Source organism: Homo sapiens, chromosome 17, assembly GCF_000001405.40.
Source record: "Homo sapiens chromosome 17, GRCh38.p14 Primary Assembly".
NCBI classification, from domain to species: Eukaryota; Metazoa; Chordata; class Mammalia; order Primates; family Hominidae; genus Homo; species Homo sapiens.
This window is the reverse complement of record NC_000017.11, coordinates 7,214,744-7,234,639: the sequence shown is the minus strand read 5'-3', so window position 1 is coordinate 7,234,639 and position 19,896 is coordinate 7,214,744. Positions and strand designations below refer to the sequence as shown.

The 19,896-nt window shown below is 56.7% G+C and overlaps 3 protein-coding genes and 1 non-coding gene across 22 annotated transcripts in view, besides 6 other annotated features; 3 read left to right on the top strand and 1 right to left on the bottom strand.

The window, feature by feature from the left end:
* Positions 86-385: a silencer, noted in NCBI's record as "silent region_8089". NCBI's record gives its function as "represses an Ori minimal core promoter by ATAC-STARR-seq in GM12878 lymphoblastoid cells {active_cell/tissue: GM12878}" and the evidence as "EXISTENCE:reporter gene assay evidence [ECO:0000049][PMID:35858748]".
* On the top strand, positions 123-9,298 carry DVL2 (dishevelled segment polarity protein 2). Of its 6 annotated transcripts, none has more exons than XM_005256502.3 (15): positions 123-571; positions 3,843-3,912; positions 4,210-4,355; positions 4,485-4,582; positions 4,697-4,832; positions 4,962-5,052; positions 5,193-5,262; positions 5,366-5,505; positions 5,595-5,671; positions 6,596-6,663; positions 6,857-6,985; positions 7,105-7,236; positions 7,371-7,550; positions 8,001-8,219; positions 8,327-9,298. In XM_005256502.3, the coding sequence occupies exons 1-15, from the start codon at positions 378-380 to the stop codon at positions 8,773-8,775; spliced, it is 2,199 nt and encodes a 732-aa protein (XP_005256559.1). In that variant the 5' UTR covers positions 123-377; the 3' UTR covers positions 8,776-9,298. The 6 variants fall into 6 exon arrangements, with proteins under 6 accessions (XP_005256559.1, NP_004413.1, XP_047291476.1 ...); NM_004422.3 differs by having other exon boundaries at positions 4,485-4,594; XM_047435518.1 differs by lacking the exon at positions 123-571 and adding an exon at positions 3,446-3,759.
* Positions 3,967-5,166: an enhancer, noted in NCBI's record as "CDK7 strongly-dependent group 2 enhancer chr17:7132793-7133992 (GRCh37/hg19 assembly coordinates)". NCBI's record gives its function as "activates an origin of replication core promoter dependent on BRD2, BRD4, P300/CBP, MED14 and CDK7 cofactors, with strong dependence on CDK7, by STARR-seq in HCT116 cells {active_cell/tissue: HCT116}" and the evidence as "EXISTENCE:reporter gene assay evidence [ECO:0000049][PMID:35650434]".
* Positions 9,185-9,684: an enhancer, noted in NCBI's record as "H3K4me1 hESC enhancer chr17:7128275-7128774 (GRCh37/hg19 assembly coordinates)". NCBI's record gives its function as "activates a minimal SCP1, AML or CMV promoter by ChIP-STARR-seq in primed H9 embryonic stem cells {active_cell/tissue: H9 hESC(primed)}" and the evidence as "EXISTENCE:reporter gene assay evidence [ECO:0000049][PMID:30033119]".
* On the bottom strand, positions 9,374-17,515 carry ACADVL (acyl-CoA dehydrogenase very long chain). 10 transcript variants are annotated; one of them, NM_001270447.2, is made up of 21 exons: positions 17,467-17,515; positions 16,822-16,924; positions 14,443-14,518; positions 14,111-14,176; positions 13,964-14,036; positions 13,810-13,874; positions 13,582-13,716; positions 12,958-13,102; positions 12,559-12,688; positions 12,338-12,463; positions 11,775-11,973; positions 11,403-11,507; positions 10,910-10,996; positions 10,765-10,827; positions 10,571-10,672; positions 10,397-10,494; positions 10,247-10,319; positions 10,088-10,160; positions 9,926-9,998; positions 9,756-9,831; positions 9,374-9,683 (listed from the first exon to the last, which is right to left on the bottom strand). In NM_001270447.2, exons 1-21 carry the CDS (start codon positions 17,492-17,494, stop codon positions 9,543-9,545), a joined length of 2,037 nt encoding a protein of 678 aa, NP_001257376.1. In that variant the 5' UTR covers positions 17,495-17,515; the 3' UTR covers positions 9,374-9,542. The 10 variants fall into 10 exon arrangements, 9 of the variants coding, with proteins under 9 accessions (NP_001257376.1, NP_000009.1, NP_001257377.1 ...); NM_000018.4 differs by lacking the exons at positions 16,822-16,924; positions 17,467-17,515 and adding an exon at positions 14,594-14,702; NM_001270448.2 differs by lacking the exons at positions 16,822-16,924; positions 17,467-17,515 and having other exon boundaries at positions 14,443-14,702.
* Positions 11,261-11,343, top strand: MIR324 (microRNA 324). The gene has a single exon (NR_029896.1). It is a non-coding gene; the product is annotated as a microRNA 324 (primary transcript).
* Positions 13,803-14,410: an enhancer, noted in NCBI's record as "H3K27ac-H3K4me1 hESC enhancer chr17:7123549-7124156 (GRCh37/hg19 assembly coordinates)". NCBI's record gives its function as "activates a minimal SCP1, AML or CMV promoter by ChIP-STARR-seq in naive H9 embryonic stem cells {active_cell/tissue: H9 hESC(naive)}" and the evidence as "EXISTENCE:reporter gene assay evidence [ECO:0000049][PMID:30033119]".
* Positions 14,369-14,578: a silencer, noted in NCBI's record as "silent region_8088". NCBI's record gives its function as "represses an Ori minimal core promoter by ATAC-STARR-seq in GM12878 lymphoblastoid cells {active_cell/tissue: GM12878}" and the evidence as "EXISTENCE:reporter gene assay evidence [ECO:0000049][PMID:35858748]".
* DLG4 (discs large MAGUK scaffold protein 4) overlaps positions 14,590-19,896 on the top strand; it is a 32,864-nt gene continuing 27,557 nt past the window's right edge. For 2 of the 5 annotated variants that reach the window (NR_135527.1, NM_001321074.1), the window contains exons 1-3: positions 14,590-15,809; positions 16,001-16,099; positions 16,359-16,399. Coding sequence is in view for 4 of the 5 variants with exons in the window: in NM_001321074.1 (NP_001308003.1) it covers positions 15,791-15,809; positions 16,001-16,099; positions 16,359-16,399 (159 nt within the window). In the remaining variant the exon portion in view is untranslated. Of the gene's footprint in view, positions 15,810-16,000; positions 16,100-16,358; positions 16,400-17,012; positions 17,523-19,896 lie in introns of those variants that run through there. The other 3 variants (NM_001128827.4, NM_001321075.3, NM_001365.5) reach the window with 2 other exon arrangements.
* Positions 18,683-19,661: an enhancer, noted in NCBI's record as "H3K27ac-H3K4me1 hESC enhancer chr17:7118298-7119276 (GRCh37/hg19 assembly coordinates)". NCBI's record gives its function as "activates a minimal SCP1, AML or CMV promoter by ChIP-STARR-seq in naive H9 embryonic stem cells {active_cell/tissue: H9 hESC(naive)}" and the evidence as "EXISTENCE:reporter gene assay evidence [ECO:0000049][PMID:30033119]".

The following is a 19,896-nucleotide window of genomic DNA, read 5'->3' as shown; positions in this document are numbered from 1 at the left end:
TGTGGCGGGGGCACTAGGCGGAGTCAGACGGTCACGTGATTGGGAGGGGATCACGTGACGGAGGGCGGCTGAGGAGCGCGGGGTGGCTGCCTTTAAGTCACGTGACATGAGGAGAGGTGGGCGGGTACCTGGAGGAAGCTCGCGGCGTCGGTGGCGGTGGCGCGCGGCGGCCGCTGAGACCGGGGCTTTGAGTCGCACCCCGCGGCCCGCCCCCCGCCGCCACCCTCGCAGATCCGTGCTTTTTCCCCTTTGCTTCTCTCCCGTACTGGGTCAGTCCTGTCCGCGCTCGCGCGTCGGTTTGCGGGTGTGCGCAGGCGCGGCAGGGGCCATTAGCCCTTTGGGTGGGCGGTGGAGCCCGGGAGCGCGCGGGCGAGACCATGGCGGGTAGCAGCACTGGGGGCGGTGGGGTTGGGGAGACGAAGGTGATTTACCACCTGGATGAGGAAGAGACTCCCTACCTGGTGAAGATCCCTGTCCCCGCCGAGCGCATCACCCTCGGCGATTTCAAGAGCGTCCTGCAGCGGCCCGCGGGCGCCAAGTACTTTTTCAAGTCTATGGATCAGGATTTCGGGTGAGCGCAAGGCCTAGATAGGACCGGCGGGGGCTTTGCTAGAGTGGATTGGGCGACATGGAGGGGCACACGTCTACTTTGGGCCACACTGGGATTTTCTGGCCTATGGTGGAGCAGATTGTACTATGCTGAGGTAGGTTGACTATCCCAGGATGGACAAGGTTATGCTTGGATAGATTGAGGCACACGGACAGACTAGGATATCCTAAACCAGATTAGACAAGATTAGGCTTTACTGGAATAGGTGGGGGCATACTGGTTTATGTTGGAGTATTCTAGTCTGTACTGAGTAAATTGATCCATTGTCTGGTTGTTTAGTACGTTCTCAGGAGTCCTGTAACGCCTGTAATCCCAGCACTTTGGGAGGCTGAGGCGGGCGGATCACGAGGTCAGGAGATCGAGGCCATCCTGGCTAACACGGTGAAACCCCATCTCTACTAACTAAAAATACAAAAAATTAGCCGGGCGTGGGGGCACGCGCCTGTAGTCCCAGCTACTTGGGTGGCTGAAGCAGGGAGAATCTCTTGAACCTGGGAGGCGGAGGTTGCAGTGAGCCGAGATCGCGCCACTGCACTCCAGCCTGGGCGACAGTGCGAGACTCCGTCTCAGAAAAAAAACAAAAAACACTTGGGCCATTATGGACTCTACTGGGTTGTATTGGTTAATCCTGGTTTCTCTTGGGGCAAGACTTGGTTTTATTGGAGCACTCGGTATAGGGGCAGACAAGGCTGTTGGGGCCTGTGCTAGCACAGGCAGCCGTATTGGGATGTTCCAATCTAGACTGGTGCAGACAGCTGCGTGTGGGGGCATTGTAGGCTGTGCTAGAATAGATTGGGCTATCCTAGGGTAATTTGGGACATTCAGGGCTATCTTGGACTAGATTGGCGTGTAAATAATGCAGAGAAAGCCCTTTTGTGTTTATGGTCTTTGGGGCTGAGCCTTCTGGGTCCTCAACCTCTGCTTTTTTTTTTTTTTTTTTTTGAGACAGTCTCGCTCTGTCGCCCAGGCTGGAGTGCAGTGGCGCATTCTCAGCTCACTGCAAGCTCTGCCTCCCGGGTCCACGCCATTCTCCTGCCTCAGCCTCCCAAGTAGCTGGGACTACAGGCGTCCGCCACCACACCCGGCTAATTTTTTGTATTTTTTAGTAGAGACGGGGTTTCACCGTTTTAGCCAGACTGGTCTCTGACTTCTGACCTCGTGATTCGCCCGCCTCAGCCTCCCAAAGTGCTGGGATTACAGGCGTGAGCCACCGCGCCCGGCCCAACCTCTGCTTTTTTGAAGGCAGGCTGGATTAAGTTGGGATAGCATGGGTTTTAGAAGAACTGAACAAACTGGACTCTAGCTAGAAAGATTGTTTGACATGGGGATGCTGATACTATCTTGGGAGTTATCTTGGCTTTAAGGCAAGGTTTTTCTAGTTGTCAGCAATGTAATCTTGGACAATTTATTTAAATTTTGTGTCTTGATCTCATCTGTGACATGGAGAAAATCACAGAATGAAATGGTTAGTTCACGTGTGTGGCACACGGGAAATTCTTGGTGAATGGTAATTGTAATTAGCATTGAGGCTGACCACTCTGTAAAGTAGGTTATGGTGATACAGAATAATTTGCCTCAGAGTGGACCAAGCTGTGCTGAGATTGTGTTATGTTGGGAAGAATCCTACATTATGCTGAGACGGGTTAGTAGTGACTGGGCTGTGTTGTCACGTTGACAGCAAATGGATTATGTTGATATATATCCTGGCTCCCATGACCATATTAGGCTAACGGGTTAATTAGACAAGGTGTCCTAATTTGGGGCTAAGGTTGTGTGTGGAAAGAGAGAGAGGAACAACTAGGGTAGAGAGTCTGATGCTTTATACGTTTATTCATTTAGTCGACAGTATTTGTTAATGCTTAAGTGTCAGTGTGTGGTGTGTGGCTAGGACATGGTGTTGACCAGAGTAAGTGTTCATGGTTTGATGTCATGGTCAAGAAGAAGGGGCAAGTCCGGTCCACCACAGGGAACCCATTGGAGAGATGACCCCAAGGCTGGGCTTTGGGATCTGTCAGGTTGAGCAGATTGCTTTGTGCAGAATTTTGTGCCCAGTGAGGCACAGGGGAATGGGAACCCCAGCTTGCCCTCTCCTTGGGAGCTTTCAGTCTAATGAGGAACTTCCATTGTTTGTTTGATCCAATGGGTGGTTTTTTTTTTTTTTTTTTTTTCTGAGGTGGAGTCTCACTCTGCCCAGGCTGGAGTGCAGCGGCGCAATCTCAGCTCACTGCAACCTTCGCCTACTGGGTTCAAGCGATTCTCCTGCTTTGGCCTCCGGAGTAGCTGGGATTATAGGTGTGCACCACCATGCCTGGCTAATTTTTATATTTTTAGTAGAGAAAGGGTTTCACCATGTTGGCCAGGCTGGTCTTGAACTCCTGACCTCAGGTAATCTGCCCACTTTGGCCTCTCAAAGTGCTGGGATTACAGGTGTGAGTCACTACGCCTGGCCTCTAATGGGTGTTTTTACTCAAGAAAGGACAGTCTTCTAGAAATGAATTAGAGAAAACTAAAGGAAAGTATAAGAGTAGAGGCTTTGATGAGGACCAAAGCCTTTTTTGGAAGGTTTTTTTTTTTTTTTTTTTTGAGCCGCCCAGGCTGGAATGCAGTGGCGCGATCTCGACTTACTGCAACCACTGTCTCCCGGGTTCAAGCGACTCTCCCATCTCAGCCTCCTGAGTAGCTGGGATTATAGACACCCACCATCATGCCCGGCTAATTTTTGTATTTTAGTAGAGATGGGGTTTCACCATGCTGGCCAGGCTGGTCTTGAACTCCTGACCTCAGGTGATCCGCCCGCCTCAGCCTCCCAAAGTGCTGGGATTACAGGTGTGAGCCACCGTGCCTGACCTTTTTGGAAGGTTTGTAAGGAACAGGGGTGGGGTTGAGAGGAGGCCACCAGCCAGTCTCATTAGATAGGTATCTCAGGCAGCCGCATCAGCGTGCGGGATTGCTTTTGAAACTGGACTAAGAGGTTTGAGTCAGACTCAAGGAAGTCTTTGGAGCAGCACTGTGCCCCTGAGGGTGCGTTAGGGAGAGGAGAAATAAGGAAAGGGGATTGAGTTTGGAGATTTCTTAGGTGTCGGAGTGAGTTCTTTCAATGTAAGAGAAGACCTGAACAGGGCAGGAGAAAGTCAACATCCTGGAGCCAGGTGAAGATTGGGAGAAAGTTTGATGGGGGTCGGGGTGGGGATGGTTGGTCCAGCTCACTGACCTCTACCTTGTCGCTTGGCAGGGTGGTGAAGGAAGAAATTTCAGATGACAACGCCCGCCTCCCCTGCTTCAACGGAAGGGTGGTATCCTGGGTAAGAGGTTCTGACACCGAGGACCAGGCCCCCTCAGCATTGCCAAGCTCCCTCAAGCCTCAGTCTGTTTCTGTATCCTCCCCAGGCCGCGCGTTAGCAGCCCTGGCTCTTTACCTCCTGTCTGTTTGGAGAGCCGGCGAGAGGCCCTCAGCCTTCTCCTTCTGGAGTCTCTAATACTTGCTAGGTTTTTTTGCTCTTCTCCAGCTCTCTGAGACCCTTTCTCATTCTTTCACTTACTGCCACCTGTCACACCCTGACTCCCAAGTGAGCCACTGTTTATCATTTGCACCCTTCTAGCTGGTGTCCTCAGATAATCCCCAACCCGAGATGGCCCCTCCAGTCCATGAGCCTCGGGCAGAACTGGCGCCTCCAGCCCCACCTTTACCTCCTTTGCCACCCGAGAGGACCAGCGGCATTGGGGACTCAAGGCCTCCATCCTTCCAGTGAGTCCTTCAGATTCTTGACTGCAGGGGAGGGAGGTGAGGAGGGAACCCAGGCCTTTGGTAGGGGACGCCTAGGATCCGGAGCCCTGTTCTCCTGATGTGGGTTGGAAACCATCTCTGCCTGTCCAGCCCTAATGTGTCCAGCAGCCATGAGAATCTGGAGCCTGAGACAGAAACCGAGTCAGTAGTGTCACTGAGGCGGGAGCGGCCTCGCAGGAGAGACAGCAGTGAGCATGGCGGTGAGGGGCAGGCCTGGGGGCCGGGAAGGGCTGGGCCAGACCCCAGCCTTGGTGGGGTGAGCAGGGGGAAGCTTGGTTCTTGAGCTTCCTGTCCATATGTAGCTGGGGGCCACAGGACTGGTGGCCCCTCAAGGCTGGAGCGCCACCTGGCCGGATACGAGAGCTCCTCTACCCTCATGACCAGCGAGCTGGAGAGTACCAGCCTGGGGGACTCGGACGAGGAGGACACCATGAGCAGGTGTGGCTCCGCACAGCTCTCCCCAGCGCACCCAGCCCCGTCTCGTCTTCCAGTCAATCCTCTTGTTCTTTCTCTTGGCCCCATGACCACTTTGGCCTACGTTTGCTCTCCTTCCCAACCTCCTGGTAGGTTCAGCAGCTCCACGGAGCAGAGCAGTGCCTCCCGCCTCCTTAAGCGCCACCGGCGGCGAAGGAAGCAGAGGCCACCCCGCCTGGAGAGGGTGAGGGGTTCCTACAGGAAGGCTGGTGCTGGGAGAAGGTGGGGCATGGGCTTTGGTTTGGGCGGTGCCAGGACACCGGCAGCACCCCAGGGTTGACCCTGGGTTATTGAAGGGCACTCTGGCTCCTTTTCCCACCACAGACGTCATCCTTCAGCAGCGTCACAGATTCCACAATGTCTCTCAATATCATCACAGTCACGCTAAACATGGGTATGGGGAGAGCCTGTGGCTAGGGCGTGGGGAGGGCCTGGTCTCTAGGGTTCCGGGCGTCCTGTGGCAGGGGCTCCTCTTTTCACATGGCCTCTCTCCACAGAGAAGTACAACTTCCTGGGTATCTCCATTGTTGGCCAGAGCAATGAGCGGGGAGACGGAGGCATCTACATTGGCTCCATCATGAAGGGTGGGGCTGTGGCGGCCGACGGGCGCATTGAGCCAGGGGACATGCTTTTGCAGGTGTGCTGGGGTAGGGCCACTGAGCTGCCCTGCACGGGGGCCCTCAGCCTCTCCCACCGTGTCTCTGACCCACTTGCCGTCGCTTCCAGGTGAATGACATGAACTTTGAGAACATGAGCAACGATGACGCTGTGCGGGTGCTGAGGGACATTGTGCACAAGCCTGGGTGAGTTGCCAAGCAGGTTGCCGGTCCTCAGTCCTCTTTTTTTTTCTCTTTCATGTTTTGTTTTGGAATTTTAATAAGTACTAAGACAGCCGGGCGTGGTGGCTCGAGCCTGTAAACCCAGCACTTTGGGAGGCCCAGATGGGTGGATCACCTGAGGTGAGGAGTTCGAGACCAGCCTGACCAATGTGGTGAAACCGTGTCTCTACTAAAAATAGAAAAATTAAGTGGGCATGGTGGCACATGCCTGTAGTCCCAGCTAGTGAGGTGGCTGAGACAGGAGAATCACTTGAACCCTGGGGGGTGGAGGTTGCAGTGAAACGAGATCACGCCACTGCACTCCAGCCTGGGCGACAGAGCAAGACTCCGTCTCAAAAAAAAAAAAAAGTGCTAAGACATAACGTTCAAAGTACATGAAACAAATGCATGACATAGCAAATAATACTAGAGTAAATATCCATGTCACTGCCATCTAGATCATCAAATAGGAGATTGCTGATACCCTAGAACTTCCTCCTCAGATGTCCCTTCCTGCTCCCAAATGCCTCACTGCCCCAGGGGTAGTCACTCTCCTGACTTCTTTGGCCATCACCATAACAAAGAAAAGCTTTGCCTCACTGGATAGTTACCACCCTTGCACGTATCCTTGAACACTGCAGTTTCGTTTTACCTGTTTTTGGACTTTCTGTGAATGGAACTGTACAGCGTGTACTCTCTTGTCTCACTTGGCAGTATGTTTTTAAGAGTTTTCCATGTTGATGAGTCATCCACATTGTGGTGCCTTCCACCCTCACCTTCTCTAGCCCAGCCGCGATGTGCTTGCTTCTCCCCCTCTTTGTGTCTCTTAATCCATCCTTGCTTCAGACCCCCGCCCTCCTGAGGCCTCCTCTTCCCCTGCGCCCTTGACTGGACTTCTCTTCCCCATAGCCCCATTGTGCTGACTGTGGCCAAGTGCTGGGATCCCTCTCCTCAGGCCTATTTCACTCTCCCCCGAAGTGAGTGACACTCAGGGAGGGGCCTGAAGTTGGGGGTGGGGGCTGCCCAGGAGGCTGGGGCCGGGCCTGTGGTCATGGGGAATGGGTGGGAGGAGGGTCCAGGCAGAGGTGGAACAGGAGGCTGAGTCAGGGAGGGACTGGGCTGGCTTTTGGGGACTGAGAATGGGTCATTTTGGTGCCATCTTTGTCCCAGATGAGCCCATCCAGCCAATTGACCCTGCTGCCTGGGTGTCCCATTCCGCGGCTCTGACTGGCACCTTCCCAGCCTATCCAGGTTCCTCCTCCATGAGCACCATTACATCTGGATCGTCTTTGCCTGATGGTGAGCCGCCAGCCCACCTCATCCCACCCTCCCAGCAGAAGGCTGTCCCGCAGTGGTCTGATCCATTGCCCTTGTGGGAGCGATCCCTGACTCTGGTTACCCGTTGTCTCCTCTGCCAGGCTGTGAAGGCCGGGGTCTCTCCGTCCATACGGACATGGCATCGGTGACCAAGGCCATGGCAGCTCCAGAGTCTGGACTGGAAGTCCGGGACCGCATGTGGCTCAAGATCACCATCCCTAATGCCTTTCTGGGTATGGCTGGGTCCTGGGCAGGTGGCTGGAGAAGGGGAGGAGGTGGTGACCAAAGCCAGGAATGGCACAGGCAGAGGCGAGAGCAGGAGTTGGAAGAAGAACCTGAGGCCTTTTTCCACTGTGGGTGCTCCCAGGCTCGGATGTGGTTGACTGGCTCTACCATCACGTGGAGGGCTTTCCTGAGCGGCGGGAGGCCCGCAAGTATGCCAGCGGGCTGCTCAAAGCAGGCCTGATCCGACACACCGTCAACAAGATCACCTTCTCTGAGCAGTGCTATTACGTCTTCGGAGACCTCAGTGGTGGCTGTGAGAGCTGTAAGTCCCCCTGCCCCAACTCTGGGAGTGTGGCTTTGCCTACCTTGTTCTGCCTCTCCAACCCTAGACCTAGCCCAGAAACCGCAGCCAGGGCCACCATGGATGGTCGAGCAGTGTGTGTCCCGCACTAGGTCCTGCACTGGCCGAGGATGGGGGCTGACGTCCACCCATGTGCTGCTGGACAAGCCATGTGCCAGGTGCAGGACTGTGTCCACCGGGGGAAGGTGCACCTCTTACCTGAGTCCCGCAAAGACGTGGGCTAGTGGCTGTGCCCCTGCCCTCATGGCAGAAGTAGATGGGAGTTTCTTGTCAGAGACCCTTGTGAACCCCTGTTTTGAGCCCCATCGTGGGTGGGTCTGGGAGAACTGTTCCCAGTTCCTCTCCATTCGGTGTCTTGGGGCCCTAGCCTCTTGAAGCAGTGATTTCTTCCTCTCTTCCCTTGCTTTCCAGACCTAGTCAACCTGTCTCTCAATGACAACGATGGCTCCAGTGGGGCTTCAGACCAGGATACCCTGGCTCCTCTGCCTGGGGCCACCCCCTGGCCCCTGCTGCCCACTTTCTCCTACCAATACCCTGCCCCACACCCCTACAGCCCGCAGCCTCCACCCTACCATGAGCTTTCATCTTACACCTATGGTGGGGGCAGTGCCAGCAGCCAGCATAGTGAGGGTAAGTCATCCCCACATACCTGTACGGCCAGGATCTGAGGGTGGATGAGAGGGGAGCCAGGGAGGAGCCTGGGTGAGGACTCAGTTGCCCCTCCCCTCCCTCCACAGGCAGCCGGAGCAGTGGGTCGACACGGAGTGATGGGGGGGCAGGGCGCACGGGGAGGCCCGAGGAGCGGGCCCCCGAGTCCAAGTCCGGCAGTGGCAGTGAGTCTGAGCCCTCCAGCCGAGGGGGCAGCCTTCGGCGGGGTGGGGAAGCAAGTGGGACTAGCGATGGGGGCCCTCCTCCATCCAGAGGCTCAACTGGGGGTGCCCCTAATCTCCGAGCCCACCCAGGGCTCCATCCCTATGGACCGCCCCCTGGCATGGCCCTCCCCTACAACCCCATGATGGTGGTCATGATGCCCCCACCTCCACCTCCAGTCCCTCCAGCAGTGCAGCCTCCGGGGGCCCCTCCAGTCAGAGACCTGGGCTCTGTGCCCCCAGAACTGACAGCCAGCCGCCAAAGCTTCCACATGGCCATGGGCAATCCCAGCGAGTTCTTTGTGGATGTTATGTAGCCCACTGTGGGGCCAGGCTGGGCCGGGCGCTCCTGGTGTGTGACTGGGTGTCCTGGCCGTCATGTGCTTGCTCTTACAGTGCCTGGGCTCAGCCTACCAGCTGCTGCCATACAGGAGATTGTGGCCACTGTGACTCTCACCAGCAGTGCCTGGTTCCTCCCCCTTCCCTCAGGGGTAGACAAGGGACCTTTGATTATTTTTAGCTTTGTTTTTTTATAAGCCTTTTTGGGGGTTAAAATAGAGTTTCTTACATTTTTGGGACTTTTTTAATAGGCATTTCCTCTTTTATATGAAGAATTCCCATCCATTGGGCCCCTTCTAACCCCAGAATGTGACCTCCTCCTCCAGTTACCCACAGCCCTGCCCTTTGCAGGGTTGGGGGTGGTCAGCGGTACCCCGGGGTTAGGCATCCTAGACAGCAGCCTGAGGAAGCTGGGAGATTTGGGCCATGTAGCTGCCTTTGTTACTCTATTTATTTTAGTCACTTGTATAAAACACCAAATAAAGCAATAGAGGCAAACTCCCCACGCCTCTGGCTCCTTTCTTTGGGAGGGAGGCAGGCAGCAGGGGGAAAGAACCGTCACACAGGAGCAAAGCATGACTGGCTAGAAATTTTTATTATTTGCGAGGCAGTAAGTGCTCTTGAGAGCAGGCACAGTGCTGGGAACACTAGGCCCCTTCGGGACAAACCAGGGCCTTAAGGAAAGGGGCTTCGGCTTTGGCTTGAGGGAAGGCACATAACTGGGACAGGCCCTGGCCGGGAGTATTCAGAAGCCAAGTGGGTTGCTGGTGACCACACCACCCCGCTCCACCAAGGCCTTGGAGATGCTTTTGAAGTTGCGGTAGAGCTCTTGCTGCCAGGGGTCAGACTGCAGGGCGGCCATGCCCTCTCGGATCCGAGCTGCAGCCTGGGGAGAGGGAAGGAGGGGTTGGGCCTGCACCTCCAGCCCTCACCTGAGCTTGGCAGCCCCGAGTCTCACCTCGATACACCAGGTGTCACAGAGCATTTTCTCATGCTGGGCCGTGGGGTGGCCCTCACTCAGGGATCTTGAGGCCCTGGCAGGAAGCAGGAGATGAAAATAAATCTGGGCCGGCTGGGATCCAGGCCCAGGCCCCCTGCGGCTCAGGCATTCCCTGCCTGCCTCCTCACCTCGAGAGAACCACCACCATGGCATAGAGGTCGATGGCCCCGTCTGCCAGCCGCTGCAGCAGAAACTGTTCATCTGTCCGGTAGGTGGGGTGGGGGTGGGGGTGGGGGCATTAGTCTCAAGGAGAGGAAAGGGAGGGGCGGAATGGTGTAGAGCTCACTTACTGACAATCCCCTTCTTGTGTTTTATCAGCTTGGCCTCCACCACAGTGGCAAACTGCTCCAGAGCCCGTACTGCCTTAAGAGATGGGGACAGTGCGGGGCTCAGAGGGGCCATCGGCTGCAGTCCCTGATGCAGGCTCTCCTGGACCCCTGGCCACTTACCAGCTCGCCACTCCGACTCAACTCCGGGTGGACAAGTCCGCTGAGACTCAGGCCGCTGCCCAGCCCTGCCCGCCTGAGAGGAAGAGGGAGAATGACTGGTTAGTTGCCATACACCACCCTGCCCTCCCCTGGCTCTGGCCCTAAGCCTACCGCCTCAGCTGTTTGCCTGCCTCTCCTAGCAGGAGGCCAGCATTCCCAAAGGGATTCTTTAGAGCACTGCCAAGCCCAGAGAGCTCCTTTCCTTTGTCCTATGGGGGAAGAGGGTCCAGCAGTCAGGACTCACTGTCCTCCCCACCTCTACCCCCACCCAATTCTCTGTCTTACCATACAGCCCTGCAGAGCCACAAACAGCCGAAGAATGTCATTTGTCCCCTCAAAGATCCGGAAGATGCGAAGATCTCGGAGCACACGCTCTACTCCAGGTTCCTAGCACAGGGCCACACAAATTATATGCCCGTGCTGAGATGTGCCTACCCACCCCTGGCCCAGCCGAGGCTCTGCAGAAGACCGTCCTGTACCTTCATGAAGCCCATACCCCCCATGATTTGGATGCATTCATCTGTCACCTTCCAGGCTGCCTCCTAGGGACAAAGAACAGATGAGACTGGTTTTGGGAGCTGAGCACCCAAACTGGACTCCCTCCCAGCATGCCTGGGACCTCACCGAGCCAAAGATTTTGCTGATGGCGGCCTCTATCTGGAAGTCCGTGGCTCCCTGGTCCATGTTAGCACTCACCATGTAAGCCATGGACTGAGGTTGCATAGTTGGGACATGGGAAGGAAAATTGCAAAGGGCTTTGTCAGACTTGGCCTCATCACCCAGATCTCCAAGATAAGGGCTGACCTAGCTTGTCAGGTCAGGCAGATACTTGTTCTGGGTCAGTTCATCAGGTGCTTCCAGGTATTTGTTTTCTTAAAAGGGGTGGATGTAAGGGATGAGGTAGAATTAACTTCTGGTACTGCTGGCAGGCACCTGAGCAGAACATCATTGCTGTCTCTCTTCGCAGAAGCTGAGCTGACTATGCCTCCCCGCATCCCCTAGGGCATTGGTGTAAAGCTGGAGACCCACTGCCCCAGGTGCTGCTGGGGGTTGTAGTCTGACCCGACTGGGAAGAAAGCCCCAGGGCTCCAGGGAGAGGGGCTTGGGAGGCCCTCACCTCAGTTACATACTGCAGCATAACCATCCGTGCCAGCTTCTCCTGGATCAGCCCAAAGTTGTGAATTTTCTCCCCAAACTGGGTACGATTAGTGGCATGATCTACCTGGAAGAGGGTCCACACATCCCGCTGTGGTTCAGTGTGGTTCTGCAGTCTCCCTAGGAGAGGGGCTGGGCTTGCGCCAGAGGGATGGGTTTTGCATACAACCAGAGTTCAGTCTACGCTGGATGGAGACCTAAGCTAGCAAGTCGGGCTGCTGGTAGGGGAGGAGTTTCTAGTGTAGGGAGTGCCTGCAAGTGATCAGGGACACATGGCAAGGGGGACAGTGAGACTTCTGTTTGGGTTACCTAGGGACTCGGGCAGGGTACTCACCGCCTTAGCAATGATGCCTCTCATGGTACCTGCCAGGGCCGCAGCCATGCCAAACCTTCCATTGTTGAGGATGTGCATGGCAACCTTGAAGCCACTCCCAACCTCACCCAGCACGTTCTCCGATGGCACCCGTACTCCATCAAAGAACACCTCTGCTGTGTTTGAAGCCTTGATGCCCATCTTCTTCTCAGGGGGCCCACTGTGTCAGGGCAGTGTGGGAAAGCAGAGGTGTGTTCAACAGGTTGTCACTGGGGGAAAAACTGCTCCTTCGCTCCTTATGCACCAGGGAGGAATGACGACCACTAGACTATTAGAGGCTACAGCCACCACTTCCCCTCAGGCCCTGAGGGCTAAGGAGGCCTGGCTATGTCCTATTTTGTGTTGGACTTGGTTGCTGGAGCCAAAACTTTAGCTCAGTTGCATACATATTAGTCCCAAAGGCCACATTCAGTCCACCTGCTTTGGCTTTTGCACACGTCCCCAGGGTGACTTGCAACAGCCATCTGCCCAGGAGCCCAGTCCTGCCCCTCAGTCCTAAGCTCCCCCAACCCAAATTCACTCACTGGGTAATGCCCCCGAAGCCCCTCTCCACCACAAAAGCTGTGATCTTCTCCTTCACGGCTCCTGTGGCTGGATCTGTAACTGGTGTCTTGGCAAAGACCGTGAAGATGTCTGCTAGGCCCCCATTACTGTGGAAGAATGGGATATTCAGGGCGTGGAGGACGGGGAGCAGTGGGGCCTGGAATTGGGCGGAGGAGAAGGGGAGAAATGGGAGGCAGGTTGCCTGATCCAAAGCTTGCTTCCATTGAGGGTATAGTATTTTCCACAGGGGCTGGGCACAGCAGAGGTTCGGATGGAGGCTGCATCTGACCCGCTTGAGGGCTCGGTTAGACAGAAAGCGGCCACAGTCTCCCCTGTTGGGGAGAGAGCTACTTTACCCCAAGTTCTGATGAGCTTCAAAGTCCCCTCGGCCCACTTCCCCATCCCTCCAGCAGGCAGTTCCCCCTTAACACCTGGGAGTATCCAGTTCTTTTGCATGTCCCAACCAGCACACTGTGATGCCTCCCCAAAACCTTCCCCCAACTGAAATGCTCAGCCATCTGATAATCTAAGTGCCAACTGGCCTAATCTGTGCCAAGCCCAGTGTGCCCCCCAATCCCTGGCTCTCCTAGGGTTGCCTCACCAGATGCCAGCTTGGGGAGGTATTTTTCTTTCTGGGCCTTTGTGCCAAAGAGCAGGATGCCTTTGAAACCGATGCTCTGATGGGCCCCCAGGGTAATGCCCACGCCAAGGTCATGCATGCCCACGATCTCCACCAAACGGGCGTACTGGAGGGGAAGCAGGAATCTGGGGTTGTCACTGGCTGCAGGGGGACCTGACCTTAACAGGAGAGTGTGGGCAACAGGGCAGTTCCTGACCTAGGGCAGTTCCTGACCTAGGGCAGTGCCTGACCTGGGCCATCCCCAGTGTGTAGAAAAGAAGTGGGGTGTGCAAAGGGCACAGCAGAGAATGCTGGTCTGTCTTAGGTCTAGGTAGGAGGGTGACTTGCTACTAGTCAGTCTATTGTTAGGCAATCCCCAACTTAGAGATTTGTAAGGACTTGGGAACCAGGGTGAGGCCCATGGCTCAGGCCTAGGGGACTGCATGTAAATTGTGTTATGTTTGGACAGTTAACATCCATCCCACAGGCACCCAGGGCAGGTGCTTAGAAGAGACCTTAGCCCTAGTCTCTAGGTCTATGGCAAAAGAGCTGAGTCTGCCAAGCTGGGGTATGGCATACTGGGATGTGGCGATAGGGCGCCCTCACCTGGGTGTTGCAAAGGCCCACACCACCCAGCTCACTGGGCACTTGCAGACCAAAGGCCCCCAGCTCCTTGAGGCCCTGCCAAGTGGTCTCCTCCACCATCTCCAGAGCGTCATTCTTGGCGGGATCGTTCACTTCCTGGGGAAGGCACAGGATCCCACATCCAGGCTCCTTTTGAGCTTAACATCTCCAAACACCTCACCAGGGACCAAGCCCCGAGTCATTCCTTACCTCGAAGAAACGGGACACAGGCTCCACCAGCTCTTTAAGAAACTGTGTCTGCTCTTCGTTGAGCACTGCAGAGGGTGGGGGACAGGCTGGTCAGGCCAGGCTGGCAGGGGAAACCACCCTGGCCCCACCCAGCTCTGATTATCCCTTCCCTTACCGGACGGGTATGGGAACACCTGATCTGTGGTGAGCTGGCCTTTGAACATTCCCACAGCAAAGGACTTAGATTCCTGGGCAGAGAGAGGCAAATTTCAGGGCTCTGGTTGGGTCTGGCTAAGGTCCACCTGGCCTCGGGGCTACCTACCGCCTTGGCCGGTTTTTTCCTGGTCAGAGCGTCAGAGGGGTGGGAATCTGACTTGTCCAGAGCCAGCTGGGAAAAGAGACGGTTAGCAAGTTCAGGGAAGGGACTTCCGCTGTGTCAAGGGGAGAACAGGCGAGAGCCGCGCGGGGAGGCGGCGCGAAGCGGTGACCTTTCCCCTAGTTTCGCCCTAGGGCACCCTGGCTTGCCCTTTCCCCTACTTTCGGCGACTGAGCAGTAGGCAGGTACCTGGCACCAAGAGGGAGATCCCTGCCGATGGCGGGCGCCGAAGCGGACCGCCGCTCCCACACCCCCTTGCCAAGGCTGCGGTGACTTACCTGAGCGGCACCCCCGGCATAGGGCCGCCGGGCAGGGCCGGGCCGGGGCTGCCCCAGGAGCGCCGTGAGCCGCGAGCTGTGGGGAGTGGGGGTTCAGTGCCGGCCCGGTGCCCAGGGCCGCTGCCCACCGTCCCTCTTGTCACACACAGACCTTCCGCCCCCGAGCCTCAGCAGCTGCCGCCCCAAGCTCGCGGCCATCCGAGCCGCCTGCATCTCCGAATCTCTCCGGGCGCCGCTGGCTCGAGCTCTGACCCAGCTCTGGCGTCCTGCACGCCCACGTCCTGGCGCCCCTAACCCTGACTCATCGTCCACAGTGCACCGGGCGGCGGACGGTTGCGGGCCCCGGGGCATGCTGGGAGCTGTAGTTCCCTGGAGCCCGGCCCTGCGTTCCGCTGACTTAGAGGGATCTCCAAGCGTCCCTCGTCTCCCCCAAACTCCTTAATCCCGCCCGTCCGACCTAGAGTCTAGTCCTCCGACGGGGTGATGGGATAGGATGGGACAGAAGAGGAAGGGGCTTAAGTCACTGCAGCCAGAGGGATGGAGGTGGACTGAAGGGAGGGCTTCTCCGGTGGGGTTAGAAGGGAAAAGTAGGGAAAGAGAAGTGTAAGGTAGATGGCAGAGGCAGAGACATGGAAAGACAGACTCTAGGGTTCCTGATGAAATCTATCTCGGCCAACACAAAAGGGAGGGTACAGTGGTGGGGGGCACCCAAGCTAGGGTGTGAGTACCCTAAGTGTATTCTTCTGAGATGTAGGCCATTCACTAACTCTTGGAACAGCTACAGTTTCACAGTAGGAAGACCCCCCCAGATTCACTGCCCCTCCCTTAGTAAAGCCTCTGAGACCTTCCTGAACATTCCCTTCTGTCTTTGCCCTCTGTTCCTTCCAGAGACCATGTGCCCAGGCAGATGGATTCCTCCCGGGCCTGAGAGGAACTGCAGGAATTCTCCTGCCTCTTACCCGTAAAACCCCAACTTCTCTAGCCCTAGGGCAGGAAGTCCCAAACAATTTCTACCCCTTTTTCTGCAATTCTCATTGGGGTGAGAGGAGGCCCAGGAGGAGAGAGAGCTGGGCTCAGCTTCTTTTTGAGCTGCTGGAGCCCTCTGTGAGGAGGCCCTCTTTGCTGGCTTCTCAGGAGAGCGTGGCTAGGTTCTGCCTGCCTATGGGAAGAGGGGGCCAGGGTGTGTGGAGCAAGATGGTGGCGGTGCTGGTGCCTTGGGACCTGGGGGAATGGGACAGCTGGTCGGCTCAGAGACGGCCTACTTTACTCACAGCTGGAATTTAGTGGGGAGAAGCAGCTCAACTCCAATCCTGGAGGATTAGGGAGATTAAAGTGAGAGAAGAGAGAGATGTCCCAGAGACCAAGAGGTGAAAAACAGGGCTCCTTGTGGAGGGGAGGTCTGGGAGCGAAGTGGGGGGCTGGGGCTCGGAGATCCTTCTCCCCAAATCTTTCCGTAGGGGCTGGGGTGAAGGGCACAGTCTGGGGAGATGAAGTGACAGTGTGTTCATCTTCCTGTGTTGGCATCTTCCCTGTCCCAATTCTCCTTGCATCTCACTAGCTCCCAGGTCAGCCCTCTGGCTCCTGGCACCCCCACTGCTGCGGTGGGCACCCCCACTCCTCACAGTGCTGCATAGCGACCTCTTCCAGGCCTTGCTGGGTGAGTAGCCCGTTTTCTGAGGGACCTGGGCCTCCAAGGGCCATTACTGAACTTCGGGGGCTGTTTGGGAGCCCAGAGATCATTTGGTCCAAGCTGGAGCACCATGCAGGGTCCTGCCTATGGTGTCCTCCATGAGTGTGGACCAGCCTTGGCTGAAAGGGCTCCTCCCTTGCCAGCCAGCCAGCAGCGGTGATGACAGGGGTGATGTGCCTGGAGAGGCCTGGGGTGGGGAGGTAACTCAGTTCTGTTCCTGTGACAGACATCCTGGACTATTATGAGGCTTCCCTCTCAGAGAGTCAGGTAAGGAGGTGGGGGCGAGCGCCTAACTTCCTGAGGGGCAGGCAGGGCTGGAGGGGTGAGCCAAATATCACTAATATTACCTGGAATCTTGGGGGCCCTGCTGACAAAAGCCTGAGTCAGTGGCCCAGGGACTTGGGGCACCGAGAATGCACTCTCTGTGGTCCTGTACCCACTCTCCCTTTCTTCCTCGTTTTCTTTGGCTGCCCCAGTTTCAGGCACTAAAGAGTCTAGGGCTTAACTTTTTAGGTTTCCCCCTGAGAAACCTGAGGGAGAACTAGGCCCCCAGGGATTGCCTCCTTCAGCTCCTCCCTCACACCCGACCCCCTACCGCCTGCCGAGAGGCCTCCCTCCCGTATTCAAATAACCGTGGGTGCTCCCAGCCCAACTATAGATGCTTCCTTCTCTAAGAAATGAAATCCAGCCTCATCGTCTTTGCTGTCATCGCTGGTGGCTGGCCAGGTCTCCATGTTTGCCTCAGGGGCCTCTGTGCTTCTGCTTCTATCTCCTTTCCCATTATCCGGGTTCCTGCCAGCACAGAAGGAGTTAACTCTGCCAAGGCACCCCCCCCATTCTGGCTCCTAGCTCCCTCCCTCCCTCCCCCTGCTTCCTCTCTCCTCCTCTCTCCCCTTCCCTCTTCGGCTCCACGGCTCCCTCGGCCGCTGCCGTTTCCAACCCCCCCACCCCACTCCCCCGCCACGGCCCCTAGCCCCTGGCCGTTTGGCAAGACCCCCCCCTACCCCGGGGCTCCCCGAAATCCAGTTCCCCTCCCCCACCCCAGCTCATGCCCCAGCCCCCGAACTCCGGGGCTGCCAGCCCCCGGTGCCCCCGCCCCTCCTGAGAATCGGGGTGTGCTCCCCAAGCCCCCTCCCCTCCACTGGGGAGCCCCTTTTAGGGCCCCCTTCCCCTCCCTCCCACGCTCCCCTCCCCTTCCCTTCTCCAACCCCCTCCTTCCCCTCTCACCCCTCCCCCCATCCTGGCCCCCCCTGCAAAAGTGGGGTGCGGAGGGGGGAGGGGTGAGAACCCACGGAGGGGAGGAACGAAACTCCGATGAAGTCAGAGCCCCTTACCCGCCGCCGCGGCCAGGCCCCCCAACATGGACTGTCTCTGTATAGTGACAACCAAGGTAAGCATGATGGGGGGGCTATAAACTGGGGGGAGGGTATGAGTTTGTGGGGAGGGGTTAGTAGGCCTTATCTGGGACTGGCGCCCCTGGAGTGGCAGCATCAGAAGTAAGATGTATTTGGGGGTCTTAATTTAGTTTTGGGGTTCACATCTGAGAAAATGCAGGATTTGGCCACAGGTGCCCCCTGGAGTGATCCCTTTGTACCTGTAGGGATATGGAAAATTTAGGATATTCCATGGTTCGGGGGGCCTGGCGGGTTTGGGGGTTCATCAGCGCTGTTTGAGGGAGACTTATTTAAGGAGAAGCCTGGCTCATAAGGGAGTCCTGCTGGTGTATGTGGGAAGGTGGGCTATGTTGGGGGGTTCCTCTTTCCTCCCCAGGGAAAAGCTGGCTTCCAAGGGCCTTGTCCAGTTTTGGGGGGCTCCTGGCATGGGGTAAAGGTTATTGGTTGTGAGTGCCTGACTGATCTGGGGGTGTCAGCTGGCAGGGAAGGGGTGGGCCTTCAGACTCTAGAACAAGCATCTCGTGGTGGCTGCATTTAGGGATGCTCTCTCAATTTGAGGGAACTGTTAATTTAGGGTTCAGTCATATAGAATGGAGGTAGTTGGAAGTTGTCAGAGGGCTGGGGCCCTGGCATGGGATCACCTGAGGGAATGGACCAGGTGAGGCAAGGATTTGGGGGTACTCCCATAGGAGGCAGAAGATTGCAGCAGCCGAGCTTGCCAGCCCCTGAGGAGGAGGATGAGAGGCTTAGGGAGAGAGGGGATTTGAGGAGGGGGACCGGGTGGGTGGTGCACAATTTGGGGGTGGCCCAAAGGCAGGTGCCCAATATCCCCATCTCCTCCCACACTGTATCTAGCCCTGATCAAGAGAGAGGGAGAAGAGCAGATGTGGGGACTGTTCCAGATACCCCTGACGCTTGGGATCAAGGTGGGGGAGGACACCTGGATTTAAGGGTCCCTGAGGGCTTATGACCGAAGTTACTGAGGTTACTGGGGTGAAAAGGTGTAGGAGGAGGGCAGGGCTGGCAGCGATGGGGATCTGTGCAAGAGTGTCCCTCTGGTTGGAGCCTGGCAAAGGCAGGAGATCTCGGATGGAGCACAGGCGAGCTCCTGGTGGGATGCAGATACCTAGGCTCTCCTTGGAGACTCTGGGACTGGAGAGCTGGATGCCTGGTGTGTGGAGGGAGGCTTGGGCGGGTGGCAGGCAGCTGGGGGCTGGGGGGTGGGACAGGAAGTGGGGGCCGGGGGAGGCGGGGTCCGGGTGAGTCACAGGCTGGGGAGGGGGTTATATTTAGTGGGAACTGCAGCTTTTCATGGGAGGGAGCTGAGGACACACATGTTCCCTGCCACAAACTCACACATGTGTGTACACATGCATTGTGCACGTGTGAGGATGGTTGGAAGAGATTGGGGGCTGAGGACCTTTAGATCTGGAGCCCCCACCCTCTCTCCACCAGGGCGACTTTCTTGTCCTTCATTCTGTGGGTTTCGGGCTTTCTCCCAGGCTGCCTCTTCCCCACATCCCCTGTAGTTTCGGTGGATTTTTATGCCTCAGTTTCTCTGGCCTGGTTTCCTCTGCTCCCGCTGTCTCCTGCCCTTAGGCCTGTCACTTGGCCTTAGGCTCCATGGCTGTGGTCCCCTGCATTCCAGGTGTAAATAGAAAGCCCGCTGGAATGTGTGGGCTCTGCTTCCAACACGTGAACACACAAATGGGAGCGAGGGTGAGGGGCTTGCCAGCAGGCAGCTATTCTGGGTGGGTGGGTGGCCTTATTCATTACCCACTCCAGACTCCTACTTCTTCCATGGAGCCCAGGGTTGAGCATCCCTGAAGGAAGGAGGCTTACAGAGCAGATCATGCATTTGGGGTTTACAGAGGCGTGGAGACCCAGGCTTGCCACATTCCTTGGCTGGAAAACTTGTCAGCCTCGGTATGGTGGGGACTCCAACTCCCATAAGGCCCCGAGGCACCAGATCCCTCAATGTTAGAGGGTTGCTGCCCATGGCGCTGTTGGGAGTTGTGGTTCATCTCTATCCAGGGCAGCCAGCGGAGGGTAGCCCAAGAGGAGCCTGCAGGGGGCACATGGCTCCTGCTTCCCCAAATGCTGGATGGGGTAGGGAGTGCTCAGGCTTTGCGGTCGTTGAGCTCCCCAGCTCTGCCTGAGTCTTCCATCTTTCATTGCCTATATTTAGACTCCTGCCGCAGTAATTTAAGGAACATTTATTGAAAGCCTACTGCGTGCTAGGCCCTGTGTTGTGTGCAAACTCCACTCTACAGCGATCACTTTGTCTTTCTTGGTGCCTTTATCTCTGCCAGAATCTCTCGTCTCTGAGCATCTCTTTCTCCCACTCCGCCCCCGTCCCTCCCCCTTTCC